The sequence below is a fragment of the Homo sapiens genome, chromosome 1 (assembly GCF_000001405.40).
Source record: "Homo sapiens chromosome 1, GRCh38.p14 Primary Assembly".
NCBI lineage: Eukaryota > Metazoa > Chordata > Mammalia > Primates > Hominidae > Homo > Homo sapiens.
Genome location: NC_000001.11, coordinates 112,695,334 through 112,708,611, shown reverse-complemented (window position 1 = coordinate 112,708,611; position 13,278 = coordinate 112,695,334). Strand labels below are relative to the sequence as shown.

Here is a 13,278-nt window from a genome sequence, read left to right as displayed (position 1 = left end):
GTAGGAATTAAGAACAGGGGCTCTAGAGTTCAGCTGTTTGGGTTCTAGTGTCAGACCCAGCACTAGCTCTGTAACCTCTCTGAACCTCAATTTGCTTCTCAGTAAAATGGAGATAGCTACCTCATGGGATTCTTGTAGTTAATGTATGTGGACCCAGGTCCATGTAATATGGATTCAATAAATGTTAGCTATCTTGAAATTGCATTCCTCATTTAGACTCTAAGTTGTTTGAAGGCAGAAATGGATCTTCCGAACATAGCTCTCAGTTCACCCTCGAGAAATGTTCATTGAGTCAGTTAAGAGGCCTGGGGCCAAACTGCTGCGGACCTGTTTTCACATTTGTCAAATGTCTGGATTGCACTTCAGATATTTAAAGTCTGTATGACTCCTAACATTCATTCATTCATCAAATATTTGTTGACAACCTATTATGTGCCACTCACTCTGCTAGACAACGGGGGAAGGGACAGGCTGGAGGAGCCCGTGAGGTAGCAGGGCCAGACCACCAGTTTGGAGCCAGACAGGCCCGGCTGTGTGAATTCTTGCTGTCACAAGTCAAAAACAGTTGTGTAAGCCACTTGATTTCTCTGAACCTCAGCTTCTCTATGGGCAAAAGGGGATGGGTATATTTTCCCCAGAGATCTGTGATGAATATTGAAAGGGTTAAGCTGTGTAGTGTCCCAAGCACAAGCCAATGAAATGTTGGTGGACGTCCTCATTCTACTCCCACCTCCTCAGCTCCCTTACAGGGAAAGGAGATACGCGTGTAGGTAAATATCCTATGCGCCAAGTCAGACCTAGGAGTGGGAACAGAATTCACAGCTGGGATCCAGAAGCATTTCTAGGCGCACCCTTTGAGGAGTAGGTAGGAATTGGACTCCTGGAAATTCCAGGCCCAGGGAAGAAAGCGAATTGTGAGGAGGAACGGTGGTCTGGGTCTGAACGGCTCTGAGAGGTCTTCAAGTTTGGGGGATGACGTTGGGCTGTACGATCCTAGGAACAAGAGGGTGGACATCTCCCCCCAACCAACACACCCGCGCCGGGCCCTGGGACCTCCCGGCGGATACCCTTTCCCAGTCCCGCTTCCCGCGAGGTCCCAGGTGCAGCAGGAGCGGGTGGCCGCTTGGCCACAGGAGGGCAGCAGCGGCCCTTCCTGACCCCACCCCGAGCACCTCTTAACTTTCCCGACGCCGGTCCTCCCCTAGGGGATTGAAGGCTGGGCAGAGTCTGAGTCCACCCGGGTCGTGCTCCCCCCGCTCGCCCGGCTCCTCCGCAGTCCAGGAATCTCCCCGTGGCTCTCCCCGACCTGGAGGGGTGGACGCCCCTGGCCCCCAGTCCCCGGCCTGCGGAGGGGGCCGGTGGCTGCGGCCCTGCGCGGGGCCGGGGCGGGCCGAGCCAAGGGCCGCCCCCGGCCGACCCTCCCCCTGCCGGGCCCGCCCTCCCCGCCGCGGCGCTGGAGGAGGGCGGGGCGGGGCCCTGGGGTCAGTCTGAGCCTCCGGCACCGGCCGCGCAGCTGGAGGCGGCGGAGCGGAAGGTACCCTGGGCCGGGGCTGCGGGCGGTGGGGCGTCTTGGGAACTCGTCCCCAGGAGAGCACTTTCCCTTCCTCGCTGGCCCGGAGATCGGGGCCCGTGCGAGGAGGGGCTTCGGCCTGGGCGTGGACCCCGTTCCCTCCAAGCGGAGTCGGCATCCGGGCTGGGCGGTGGTCGGACCGCGTCGGCCCCTCCCCGGGCTGCAGCGAGGGGGCCCGGACCTGCCGGCAGGGGCTCTGGCCTCCTGAGGTCCGAGTCGGAGCCCCTTCCCTTCTCCTCCCAGCTTCCCGGAACCTGCCCCGCCGGGCGAGGGGCGAGGGAACTTCAACTCAGACGCCCCAGCCCCCAGGGTGGGCGGCCGCAGGGGACCTAGAGTGGGATGGGGTGGGAATTCCTCCAGGCCAGGAGGGAGGTATGGCGGGAATAGGGGCGGGATGTGACCATTGGGGCCTGCCACTGCTCGGCAGGGTCTGGACGCCGCCCTGGACGGTTCCTGGAGCCCGCTTGTGTTGAGGATAAGGGAGATGGGGAAGGATCCAACTCTGTGTGTGTGTGTGTGTGTGTGTGTGTGTGTGTGTGTGTGTGTGTGTGTGTGTGTGTGTGTGTGTGTGTGTGTGGTGTGTGTGTGTGTGTGTGTGTGTGTGTGTGTGTAGAGAGAGAGAGAGAGAGAGAAAATGAGATTGAGAATCCTCCTTCTTCATACTCGAACCAAGAAAGAGTATCCTGGGGTTTGGGACTGGGATCCCGAGGCCGAGTCCCGCCCTCACTCTGGTTTTAAAGTTGAGAATGCAGTATCTCTTGGTATCTCCAGAACGGATTCCTTCCCTAGGTGTAGGGTGGGCCGGCAAAGTCAACCGGCCGCTCTGGATCATCTGGGAATTCAAGAGAGCGATTGGAGAGAGGTCTGATGTAGCCACACTGTCTTGTCTTGGGGAAGGCCCCAGAAGTTCCAGGCTCCATTCCAGGCCCTGTGTGGGGCTCAGTTGCCCCTCTTAAGGGGTCAGTGGGACAGTCCCTCTGGGGCTGCCTCTCACAGGGAGTTGTCCATGCCATCTTGGCCTTGGGCCTAGTGTCCTGGCCTGGGCTGCCTGCTGTTCTGGCCCAATCATAGCCTGGAGGGAAAGTCTTCTAATTGGGCTGGAGGCTCCAGGTCCCTTAACGCATGCCTCAACCCCGGGTTTCTGTCCTCTGCCTCCCACCACTCTGGTGCCGTCTGAATTACCCTGCTGGGGGGACAGCAGTGGCATACTCATGCCTAAGTGACTGGCTTTCACCCCAGTAGTGATTGCCCTCCATCAACACTGCCCACCCCAGGTTGGGGCTACCCCAGCCCATCTTTACAAAACAGGGCAAGGTGAACTAATGGAGTGGGTGGAGGAGTTGGAAGAAATCCCAGCGTCAGTCACCGGGATAGAATTCCCAAGGAACCCTCTTTTTGGAGGATGGTTTCCATTTCTGGAGGCGATCTGCCGACAGGGTGAATGCCTTCTTGCTTGTCTTCTGGGGAATCAGAGAGAGTCCGTTTTGTGGTGGGAAGAGTGTGGCTGTGTACTTTGAACTCCTGTAAATTCTCTGACTCATGTCCACAAAACCAACAGTTTTGTGAATGTGTCTGGAGGCAAGGGAAGGGCCACTCAGGATCTATGTTGAAGGGAAGAGGCCTGGGGCTGGAGTATTCGCTTCCTAAAGGGCAGTGTGAGGTGGTGGTGGGGTGTGGGGAGTAGAGGCGTTCAGTCAGCCCAGTTTGACAGGATGTGGGACTGAGAGAAAAAGCTAGGTTTGAGGCTGAGATCAGGTTACCGTCGCTTTCTTAACTGCTCCCTGCCTGGTTGGTGCTGGGACTGGCCCTCATTTGTCTCTTCTTTTGGGGCTCCTCCCAGCCCAGACTCTAGCCCCCTCCCCCTTCCCAACAGCCTTGACTTCATCTCAGCTCCAGAGCCCGCCCTCTCTTCCTGCAGCCTGGGAACTTCAGCCGGCTGGAGGTCAGTTCCCCTCCCCAGGGAAGGAGGAAGTGAGGGAAGCTGCGAAGGTGTGATGAACTGTGCAGATGCTCGCTGTGTGTGCTGGGGGTGGGGGACACATGGAAGCCCGGGAAGCTGACTCCTTGCCCTGAGTCACAGGGAGGGGTGGGCAGGGCATGCGGGTGAGCTGGACTGAGGGAGGAAGGGGCTGTTCCAGAGTGGGTGGAGGTGATTCCCTGGTGGATTCTTCTCAGTCACTGTGCTGTGGTAGATGTGTGGCTCCCTACAGTGTGGTCATTGTCCCCTGCCGGGGGCTGAGTGACCCAGTGTTGCTGGCAGGCCTAGGAGGAAGGGGGGAGGAAGGCAGCCTGCCCAAACTCGAGCTGTGGGCATTGCTGGGACTGAGCCTCCTTTGTATTACTTGGGGCTTTGGGGACCGGGTGGGGTGGACCAGGGAAGCTGGCTGGCTGCTACCCCTGTCCTCTGTCTGGGTTTCCCTGCTTCTGCTCTCCCTCCTGCCCCTGAGGTGACATGTCGAAGAGGCACGACTTTGAGTCACACAGTCCTGCTTTGGGTGCTGTCCCTGCCCCTTATAAGCCACAGCTCTGAATCTGTCTTAACCTCACTGAGCCTTAGTTTCCTGGTTTGTCAAAATGGAAAGTGCACCATCTACCTTCCAGGCATCTGGGTACCGAAGGAGATAATTCCTGCCAAAATGCCCGACAGAGTGCCTGGCACCTAGGGGCTCTATAACTATTCTTCCTTTACCCACCTACCACCTGGTAGCTGGTTCTGCTACTCTGGTCCTAGAGAGGGACTCCTCATTTGTGACTGGACAGGTATGACTTGTGCTGAGGGACAGTCTGTTCTAGATTGGACCTTAGAGATTATTAAACTGTAAATGCATCAAAATCCTGGTAACCAATGAAGTCTGACTCGAAACCCTGATGTGTGAAGTAGATAGAAGCTTGCTCCCTGGACGTCCCGCATCCCTGAGCAGCTCTCTAGCTACCTGGAGTCCCCAGGTTGGCAAGTGGATTAGATTGAAACTCATGTTTTCCAGCTCCCAAGTGGGGTCATCATCTACCTCCCACCACTGTATTCTAACCCATCGAGGGAGACCTGTCCCTGACCCAGAGATTAGGAATTTCAAGCTCTGTTGTCGCACAATTGGTGTTTTGCCAGAACATGCCTGAGCAAGCCCCCTGTCCCTTTGCTAGATGCCTCGGTTTCCAGGGAGGTTTGGGGGCCCTAGAGAAGTGTTTTTGGACTTAATGGCTTTTCCTCAAATCCCCAATACGTCTTTCCTGGCAGCCCCACCATGGCTGCAATCCGAAAGAAGCTGGTGATCGTTGGGGATGGTGCCTGTGGGAAGACCTGCCTCCTCATCGTCTTCAGCAAGGATCAGTTTCCGGAGGTCTACGTCCCTACTGTCTTTGAGAACTATATTGCGGACATTGAGGTGGACGGCAAGCAGGTGAAGGCAGAAATGCCCTTCCCACCCCACCCTGAGACCCCGCCCCCCAGTCACTGAATGACCTAGTATGTCCTTCCCCATTCCTACCCCTGTCTTTGCTTCATTCTCCCTGCTGGAACCAGTAAAAGTTAGGAAGTAAATCTGCAGTCTTAAAAAACCTGGATATACTTTCTGGTTCTCCCACAGACTGGCTCTGTAACCTGGGCCGAGTCCCTTTGCCTCTGGGTTTAAGCTCCCCCACCTGCAAAATGGGGATGATGGTAAGACCTCCCTCAAAGGGTTGTTGTGAGAATTAACCAAAATAATGGTGCTCACAGTGGCAACTCAAGGGTCAAACACGTCTTAGATTTCTTTAACAAACTGACCTAATTTATGTTGTGGGACAGTGATTAATATAATGCCTGGTGCATAGCAGGTGCTCAAATAAAGAAGTTCAGTGAGCCCGAAGGACAGTGGTTTCAGGGGACCTTTGGGTGGCAGGGTTGGGGCCCTCAGGCCAGCTACTCACTGGCCCTGTGTGTCAGGTGGAGCTGGCTCTGTGGGACACAGCAGGGCAGGAAGACTATGATCGACTGCGGCCTCTCTCCTACCCGGACACTGATGTCATCCTCATGTGCTTCTCCATCGACAGCCCTGACAGCCTGGGTGAGGGGATTGGAGGGAGGGGACTGAGAACCCCTTGGAATCAGCCAGAGGTCTCGTGCCTTGGCCTGTCTTCAGTCATCTTCAGAGGTGGGGGTGGGGATGCAGGGGAGCACTCAGGCCCTGTTGGTCTCCTTTACTGTGGTAACTGGCCCTCTGAGGGCATACTACTGTTGAGGTTTTGAGCTGTGAAAGGGACCATCATGCTGAATGGCTTCTAAGACTGCTCTGGGAAGATGAGGGCCCCCCCAGGGGAGCTTTCTAGCTTAAGTGGAGGCACCGACACCTGTTGGTGCATGTCTACACAGAAAACATTCCTGAGAAGTGGACCCCAGAGGTGAAGCACTTCTGCCCCAACGTGCCCATCATCCTGGTGGGGAATAAGAAGGACCTGAGGCAAGACGAGCACACCAGGAGAGAGCTGGCCAAGATGAAGCAGGTGGGTACGGCTGCCAGGCTGGAGCCCCTGGGGAAGAATGCACCCTCTGAGGGGTTGCAGACGGGCAAAGGGAACTTCTCTCCAGCTACTGCCGTGTGTTAGGGGAAACAGTAATATCTCCTGGTGAGGGAGGACCCATAGGGTTGTGTCTGATGAGGTATCAGAATGAAGTGACTTGTCCAAAGTCACTTGGCATTTTTATTTATTCCAGTTAATTGTCCATTCCGTTCAGAATTGGGACTATTAAGATGATTAAGAAAATCTGCCCTCGGGGAGACAGCTTATGTTTCACTTGGGATACCCAGGCTGTGCCATCAGAGTGCCCCTGGGGGAGGTGTAGGGATGTGGATGCGGGAATGAGGGCAGGCATTGTGTAAGTGGCTGGAAGAAGGGATGTGAGAGCTGGCTTATTCAGGGACCTGTAAGTGGCTCTCTAGCCAGAGGACTAGAGTTTATTAGAGAAAGCTGTCAGGATAAGAAATGCAAAGATAATTATGGCAAAGTTTCAAACTGGGGAGATGTTAGGTCTGTGTGTTAGAAAAATAATTCTGACTGGAAGAGAGTGAGGATGGAGGCAGAGCAGTCAGGAGGTGGGAGACGCTCATTCAGGCAAGAGAACCAGGGGCTGTGTGTGGGAGGAGGTGGGGCTGCATGGGAATGGAGGGAGTAGACTGGAGGGATTTTTGGATCCCTGGCCACGAAGCTGCCCAGGGTAGCTGGGGCCTGGGCGCTTTCTGGGTCAGGGCTGGAGAAGGAGGCATTTGTTCCAGCTGCTACACTTATGGGTGAGGCAGGAGAGGTTCATGTAGTCAACAGCTTCCTTTGACCCCTCATCTTATGTCTTCTCAGGAGCCCGTTCGGTCTGAGGAAGGCCGGGACATGGCGAACCGGATCAGTGCCTTTGGCTACCTTGAGTGCTCAGCCAAGACCAAGGAGGGAGTGCGGGAGGTGTTTGAGATGGCCACTCGGGCTGGCCTCCAGGTCCGCAAGAACAAGCGTCGGAGGGGCTGTCCCATTCTCTGAGATCCCCAAGGCCTTTCCTACATGCCCCCTCCCTTCACAGGGGTACAGAAATTATCCCCCTACAACCCCAGCCTCCTGAGGGCTCCATGCTGAAGGCTCCCATTTTCAGTTCCCTCCTGCCCAGGACTGCATTGTTTTCTAGCCCCGAGGTGGTGGCACGGGCCCTCCCTCCCAGCGCTCTGGGAGCCACGCCTATGCCCTGCCCTTCCTCAGGGCCCCTGGGGATCTTGCCCCCTTTGACCTTCCCCAAAGGATGGTCACACACCAGCACTTTATACACTTCTGGCTCACAGGAAAGTGTCTGCAGTAGGGGACCCAGAGTCCCAGGCCCCTGGAGTTGTTTTCGGCAGGGGCCTTGTCTCTCACTGCATTTGGTCAGGGGGGCATGAATAAAGGCTACAGGCTCCAACGTGTGTGGCAGCTTTCGGTCTTTCCCTCTGGGTGCTTGGTGTCCCATCTCTTTTCATGTCCAAGTTGCTTGCCAGCCTGGCCCCCTGTCTACAAAGCAGGCCAGTGGCCAGCAGGGTGGAGTCTTAGAGCAAAGGATGAGGTCATGCCTGGCTCTGGGCCAAGGAGGCGGGTGAAGGGAGTGGTCTGTAGCAGGGGGCTAAACTTAGAAACCTGTGGGTGGCTTCCCTGCCACCTCCCACTGGGTTTCCTCCCCCGAGTGTGGGGGCTGGGTTCCTCTCCAGCTGGGAGGGGATGTGACCCTCAGCAGGGCTGAAAGTCCCACCCTTCCCTACAGGGTCAGCTTAGGGGCTCAGGAAGCTGGGGCCAGGCAGAGGAGACATTATCAAGGCTTTTGCATAGAACAAGATTTTGTTTTCAGAGTTTTCTTCCTTCCCCTTCCCCCAATTGTTAGCAGCTTGATGTGTCATTCTCCCCAGCAGGGGAGGGGGTGGAATGGCTTGGGTTGTAAACTCCCTCCCCCAGCCTTCCTGTCCCTTGGAGGGGCAGTTCAGCTGGGTTCTGGTTCAGGGTCAGGCAGGCAGTTAAGGCTTGGCTGGTGCGAGAAGGCTGGGTGCTGTGTCTTCAGAGCTCATTCCTCCACTCTGGCTCCACTTGCAGAGACAGGCCCCCTTCACCCTCCCGCTCCTGGGGGAGGTAGTCATGGCTGTGGGGCCCTGGAAAGAGAGAAAGTACACTGTGTCTTCCTTACCACCTCCTCTGGCACTGTCCCCACCCTGGCCCAGCCATACCTGAGGTAGAGGGGCTGAGCTTGCTCAGACCTTGCAGTAAATTCTGTCCCTGTTGCAGGTCCAGTTTGGCAGGGAAGGGACACCCGGTATACCCTCCGTTTTCTTTACAGAACTCCAGGAATCTGTGGGGTACAGAGGAGTGCCAGCAGAGACTGGAGGCTAAGCCACGGTCCTGTCCCATCTGAGCTGTACTTGCTCAACCTCTGGATGTCATTTAACTTATAAATACAATAGTGATGCTGTGAAAATGGACACATCTGAGGATTAACTGAGCGATAAGCAAGCGCTTAAAAAAGATCCACCTGCCCTAGGCAGGGGCTGTGGCCACTAAGAGGGAGAATGGGGTGGGAATGCTCACACTTTCCAGTCAGGGTCATGGCCCAGGAGAAGGGGGTTCCCCACGATGATGAGCAGGGCCTTGGCCCGGGTCACAGCTACATTGAACCTCTGGAAGGAAGAAGTGGTGTGGTCATGGGAGGGAAGAGCCCCGAGAATGGAAGAATTCCTGCCACCCCGACCAGCCCTCAAACCTTGGGGTTCTTAAGGAAACCCAGATTAAAGTCCAGATCCAGCTGCACAAAGCTCTGGCTGCTTCGCACGGTGGAGATGAGGATGACGCTTCGTTCTTGGCCTTGGAATTCTTCTACTGAACCCACCTAGTGGGGAAAGAGGCAGGGCCTGAGACCAGCCAGGGGTGTCAAAGGGGTGCCCTACCCCAGGGAGCTTGCCTTCCAAGGAGGGTACAGAGAGGTCACTGGGCAATTGTAGATCAGTGAGTGAACCAGTGCTGCGACACGGCCCAGGGAAAGGGGATGGGAGGTAGGCTGTGGAAGCTGAAACATGAAGGTTGAATCCTGCTGAGGGCTGGGGCCTGCAAAGTGTTCTAAGGAAAGAAAACAGCATTGCAAAGAACACGGGAACTCAGAGCAGTGACTTTCAAACTTTCCTGAAAACAATCACTAAGTATCTGTTAAGAATATACAACCCTGGGCCCTAACCCGGACCCCCGATCAGAATTTCCAAGAGAGAGGCCTGTAAGTCTTAGAGCAGTGTTTTCAACCCTGGCTGCATATTAGAATCACCTGAGAAGCTGTAAAAACTACCAGTGCCCTGGCTCTGCCCCGATAGCTGTATGAGCTGGTGGGTGGGGCCCTGGCATGGGGGCGGGGTATTAAAAGCTCTCCAGGTGATTGTTATCTGCAGCCAGTGTTGAGACCAGAACCTTAAGAGAGAGGCTACTGGGGGTGGGGGTGGCAGCATCACATGACAGGCCACGGAATTTGGACTTTATCCTTAGGGCAGAGGCCTCAAACCTGCCTCAGTCTAAGAATGACAGGAGGTGTTTGTTAAACATGCAGGCTTCCTGATCCCATCCCAGACCCTTAAGTTGGAATCTCCAGGAGTGAGAGGCTCAGGGAGAGCTCGAGCTCTATTCAAGGCAGCAGGGGTGGGACGGGGACGTGGGCTGGAGTGGAAGCTTGAGGAAGTCTCTGGAAGTGGGCAAGTGGGGGCACACGGAAGGCAGGGAGTGACTGTGGAACAGCATGTCACCTTCAAGTCCTTGATGTCATCCAGTCCTCGAAGCTCCCTGTCAAGTTTGGTGATGCAGTAACGGATTTTCTCCACCTGGAAGGAGGGGACAGGTGCCTTTCTCTCGTGCCATTAACCTAATGCAAGAGGGAGCCTGGCAGGAGGCCAGGGAGCTGGGGAACAAAGGGAGGCGGCAGCTGACCTTGGTGCTCTTCTGAGATACGGAGCCAGCAGAGGCCTAAGCTCCTGGAGCCTCTGCCTAGTGGTCTGGATATTAAGGAGGTACCATCTGGGGGAGGGGCCCCACCCTTGCTGGTAACTGAGGACCTGACCTGTTTCCGGTACGGGGAGATGACGCCCACACTTCGAGGGCTCAGGCGAGCTTTGCCCTTCTTGGAGGAGGGGGCCAGGAGCAGCTTCAGGTAGGAAGTCACTGTGGCAGCCTCTTCAGGGTTGAAGAAGGATGGGCTGTTGCCTTCACGCTCATCTTTGCCCATTACGCCGTGAAAGATGATGGGAAAGCCCTGGACATGGGGTCGGGGGAAACCGTCAGCCAGACCACCCTCCCTCTATTCCCTCCCTTCCCAAACCCTTCCAGAGAGTAAGAGATCCTAGGCCAAGGTGACAAAGGGAGGGGCTGCACCTTCAGTGGGAGGGAAGTCAGGGTACAGGGGTGGGGCCTGCCCTGCTCAGCCTCACCTGTCGAGGTAGGCCCGCCCAGCGGCAGAAGCGTTCTCGATCCACGACATCAGCACAGGCCTGCAGCTCCCCTTCATAATAGAGCTGGTTAGGAATGTCCAGGATGGTGGGATGAGACCTGGGAGGCCGGAGGAGGAAAAGCAAGACCAAGGGTCAGATTCCCTCTGCCCTACAGGGGCTCCGCTCTACCCACTCTGGGCCCACACACAATAGCCTGCTACCCCGCTGGCTCCCTGGATAGCAGGACACTCCTCCATAATATCTGCTGCCAGGCACTGTAAACCACAGAAAGCAGAACCAAATATAGTTCCAGAGAGCATCTAGTCCAGGGACTCCACAGACCCATGACATTTAAAACTAAATAATTAGGGGCCCATTTTCAGGTTTCAAATTTACCAAGGACAGTACGAAACCAAATTCTCCTTGACTATCACGTTATTTGATGAGACCATGTGTTAAATCAAAAAATATAAGCAGTGATGACACAATAACTAACATTTATTGAGCTCTTAGTGACAGCATAAAACTTATCTAAGCATTTTAGATGGCTGAACTCATTCACTAAAAGTATACAGCTCTTTAATTTGAATAACAATAGGTTTATGAAAAAACTGTATCTTCCCTATTTTTCTTTCTTTTTTTGAGATGGAGTCTCGCTCTGTCACCCAGGCTAGACTGCAGTAGCGCGATCTCAGCTCACTGCAACCTCTGCCTCCCGGGTACAAGCGATTATCCTGCCTCAGCCTCCCAAGTAACTGGAATTACAGGTGCCTGTCACTATGCCTGGCTAATTTTTGTATTTTTAGTAGAGATGGGGTTTCACCATGTTGGACAGGCTGGTCTCAAACTCCTGACCTCAAGTGATCGGGGGTGGGAGCCTGACCTACCTTGGCCTCCCAAAGTGCTGGGATTACAGCCATGAGCCACTGTGCCCGACCTCCTCCCTATTTTTCTTATCTCTCCTTGGATTGCCTGAAAACTTCATCTGGGACTGGTACCAGACACACCCTAGCCTCTAGGAACCACTGACCACCCCCTAAGATGCAGATAAGCTGACTGGTGTAGTGTGAAACCACTGGCTAAGTCACGCAGACAACAAGCAGCAGTGCTGGGGCTAGAAAAACCTCCTGCCTTCCAGTTTAGTCTTTCTGCATCACACAACCTCTGAGCAACAGGACTGACAGCAAGCCAGACTCTCCAGTGGGGTCTGCATGCAGGATGTGAAAGCATAGGATATGGCAGGGGAGGCAAGGGCATGGGAATACCTGTAGTTGCGGAGCAGCTTGGTTATGAACTGGGGGTCATAGCCATCAGGGCCCTTCTTGTACAGGGAGTTGTAGGTGAGCAGCCGCTCCAGCAGTGAGTATCCCAGTCCATGCTTCTGGGTCAGTGGGGAACGCAGCACAGGCCCCAGCTGCCGAGGGTCTCCTGCCAGCACCAGCTGCCCTCCTGGATCACCTGTTTCCTTTACTTCCATCAGCCCTGGGAAGCAGAAGAGGTGTGGGAAGAAAGGTAAGTGGTGCAACCTCTCTGACCCACACAGGGTGTATACCTGCAGCCCCACCTGAGTCCCTCACCTGCTATAGCTACCAGACTCTCAGGCTCCATGCAGTGGCCAGCCTCATCGATGAAGATGTGTGTGAAGTGATCAATGGGAAACTGGGCCGAGACCAACCTGGGAGGTGTCAGGCCAGGCAGGGGTCATATCCAGGCACCCAACTACCAAACCTGAATGCTTTCCCAGGCTGGCTTCTCAGCACCCACCACCCCACTCCGGAAACCATTCTTCCCCATTTCCCCAGCCCGGTACCCCTTTAATTACACTTACGATTCAGAGACACACCCACACACACTCCCCACCTGCCGGCAGTGATGAGGGTGGTAATTAAGACCCGGTATTCCTGCAGCTTCTTCTTGGCGGGAAATACATACTCCCCCTTCTTTGCGTCCCAGTTGCAGCAGGGCTGTGGATTGTGAAGGGACCAGAGGAATCAGCTTGGCTCCACTCATTCCCACCGTGATTCTGGCTGTGGGTACCCCCCCTCAAACAATTATTTTTATTTTTTTTAATTGAGACGGAGTCTCGCTGTCCCCCAGGCTGGAGTGCCATGGTGTGATCTTGGCCCACTGCAACCTCCGCCGCCTGGGTTCAAGCAATTCTCGTGCCTCAGCCTCCCGAGTAGCTGGGGCTACAGGCACGCGCCACCATACTCAGCTGATTTTTTTGTATTTTTAGTAGAGACGGGATTTTGCCATGTTGGCCAGGCTGGTCTCAAACTCCAGACCTCAGGTAATCCATCTGCCTCGCCCCTCAAAGTGTTGGGATTACAAGTGTAAGCCACTGCACCCAGCCCCCCAAATGTTTTATCCACCCCCCTCACTTACAGACAAACTGAGGCCCAGGGAGGGGTCCTGTCCAACCCAAGGTCACATAGCAAGTATCAGAATCCAGGTCTCCTAGCTTCCTCGCCTCAGTGTCTGCCCTGAGAGCCTCCCCGGCATTTGCCATTCTTTGGCCCTCTGCACTTCCCTAGTACCTTGATGTCCTCAGGTACCATGCGGATGTCCCTGCTGGGGGCCAGGAGGCGGTAGATGGAGCTAGGAAGGTGGACCCGGAGCCTTTGACAGAGTAGGTCAGCCCCTGAGTTGGATGGAGCGCAGGCCAAGATGTGGGCTTTGGGCAAGTGCTTCACCACCTGAGATGCAGATAAGCGCAGTGTGGGAGGCAGGTTCCTGAGACTCAGCCGTACCCAGGCTGGGGCAGGGCAAGTCTATGAT

At 55.3% G+C, this 13,278-nt stretch overlaps 2 protein-coding genes across 17 annotated transcripts in view, besides 7 other annotated features; one reads left to right on the top strand and one right to left on the bottom strand.

Annotated features, from left to right (window-relative positions):
- Nucleotides 1,046-1,765: a silencer, noted in NCBI's record as "silent region_1203". NCBI's record gives its function as "represses an Ori minimal core promoter by ATAC-STARR-seq in GM12878 lymphoblastoid cells {active_cell/tissue: GM12878}" and the evidence as "EXISTENCE:reporter gene assay evidence [ECO:0000049][PMID:35858748]".
- RHOC (ras homolog family member C) lies at nucleotides 1,204-7,481 on the top strand. 3 transcript variants are annotated; one of them, NM_175744.5, is made up of 6 exons: nucleotides 1,485-1,534; nucleotides 3,444-3,512; nucleotides 4,806-4,968; nucleotides 5,493-5,613; nucleotides 5,919-6,049; nucleotides 6,899-7,481. In NM_175744.5, the coding sequence occupies exons 3-6, from the start codon at nucleotides 4,813-4,815 to the stop codon at nucleotides 7,070-7,072; spliced, it is 582 nt and encodes a 193-aa protein (NP_786886.1). In that variant the 5' UTR covers nucleotides 1,485-1,534; nucleotides 3,444-3,512; nucleotides 4,806-4,812; the 3' UTR covers nucleotides 7,073-7,481. The 3 variants fall into 3 exon arrangements, with proteins under 3 accessions (NP_001036143.1, NP_786886.1, NP_001036144.1); NM_001042679.2 differs by lacking the exon at nucleotides 1,485-1,534 and adding an exon at nucleotides 1,674-1,779; NM_001042678.2 differs by lacking the exon at nucleotides 3,444-3,512 and having other exon boundaries at nucleotides 1,204-1,534.
- Nucleotides 3,025-3,074: an enhancer, noted in NCBI's record as "active region_1517". NCBI's record gives its function as "activates an Ori minimal core promoter by ATAC-STARR-seq in GM12878 lymphoblastoid cells {active_cell/tissue: GM12878}" and the evidence as "EXISTENCE:reporter gene assay evidence [ECO:0000049][PMID:35858748]".
- Nucleotides 3,822-4,376: an enhancer, noted in NCBI's record as "H3K4me1 hESC enhancer chr1:113246858-113247412 (GRCh37/hg19 assembly coordinates)". NCBI's record gives its function as "activates a minimal SCP1, AML or CMV promoter by ChIP-STARR-seq in naive H9 embryonic stem cells {active_cell/tissue: H9 hESC(naive)}" and the evidence as "EXISTENCE:reporter gene assay evidence [ECO:0000049][PMID:30033119]".
- Nucleotides 7,369-7,428: an enhancer, noted in NCBI's record as "active region_1516". NCBI's record gives its function as "activates an Ori minimal core promoter by ATAC-STARR-seq in GM12878 lymphoblastoid cells {active_cell/tissue: GM12878}" and the evidence as "EXISTENCE:reporter gene assay evidence [ECO:0000049][PMID:35858748]".
- Nucleotides 7,369-8,328: a biological region, named in NCBI's record as "NANOG-H3K27ac-H3K4me1 hESC enhancer GRCh37_chr1:113242906-113243833".
- Nucleotides 7,401-8,328: an enhancer, noted in NCBI's record as "NANOG-H3K27ac-H3K4me1 hESC enhancer chr1:113242906-113243833 (GRCh37/hg19 assembly coordinates)". NCBI's record gives its function as "activates a minimal SCP1, AML or CMV promoter by ChIP-STARR-seq in naive and primed H9 embryonic stem cells {active_cell/tissue: H9 hESC(naive and primed)}" and the evidence as "EXISTENCE:reporter gene assay evidence [ECO:0000049][PMID:30033119]".
- Nucleotides 7,873-13,278, bottom strand: part of MOV10 (Mov10 RNA helicase) — a 26,301-nt gene continuing 20,895 nt past the window's right edge. For 10 of the 14 annotated variants that reach the window (NM_001286072.2, NM_020963.5, NM_001130079.3 and 7 more), the window contains 11 exons: nucleotides 13,038-13,196; nucleotides 12,361-12,464; nucleotides 12,078-12,175; nucleotides 11,766-11,982; nucleotides 10,501-10,618; nucleotides 10,134-10,325; nucleotides 9,823-9,897; nucleotides 8,802-8,927; nucleotides 8,630-8,718; nucleotides 8,272-8,393; nucleotides 7,873-8,196 (listed from right to left, as the gene is read on the bottom strand). In NM_001286072.2, coding sequence (NP_001273001.1) covers nucleotides 8,105-8,196; nucleotides 8,272-8,393; nucleotides 8,630-8,718; nucleotides 8,802-8,927; nucleotides 9,823-9,897; nucleotides 10,134-10,325; nucleotides 10,501-10,618; nucleotides 11,766-11,982; nucleotides 12,078-12,175; nucleotides 12,361-12,464; nucleotides 13,038-13,196 — 1,392 coding nt within the window. In that variant the 3' untranslated portion in view covers nucleotides 7,873-8,104. Of the gene's footprint in view, nucleotides 8,197-8,271; nucleotides 8,394-8,629; nucleotides 8,719-8,801; nucleotides 9,155-9,798; nucleotides 9,975-10,133; nucleotides 10,326-10,500; nucleotides 10,619-11,765; nucleotides 11,983-12,077; nucleotides 12,176-12,360; nucleotides 12,465-13,037; nucleotides 13,197-13,278 lie in introns of those variants that run through there. The other 4 variants (XM_047421082.1, XM_047421080.1, XR_007060173.1 and 1 more) reach the window with 4 other exon arrangements.
- Nucleotides 9,331-9,625: an enhancer, noted in NCBI's record as "tiled region #4682; HepG2 Activating DNase unmatched - State 1:Tss". NCBI's record gives its function as "activates a minimal TATA promoter and a strong SV40 promoter by Sharpr-MPRA in HepG2 cells {active_cell/tissue: HepG2}" and the evidence as "EXISTENCE:reporter gene assay evidence [ECO:0000049][PMID:27701403]".

Bases quoted from the DNA above. Each gene is read 5' to 3' on its own strand.
- RHOC (NM_001042678.2), top strand. From the start codon at position 4,813: ATGGCTGCAATCCGAAAGAAGCTGGTGATCGTTGGGGATGGTGCCTGT. The intron at 5,614-5,918 runs GTGAGGGGATTG...ATGTCTACACAG, and splicing joins CGACAGCCCTGACAGCCTGG to AAAACATTCCTGAGAAGTGG. The intron at 6,050-6,898 runs GTGGGTACGGCT...ATGTCTTCTCAG, and splicing joins AGCTGGCCAAGATGAAGCAG to GAGCCCGTTCGGTCTGAGGA.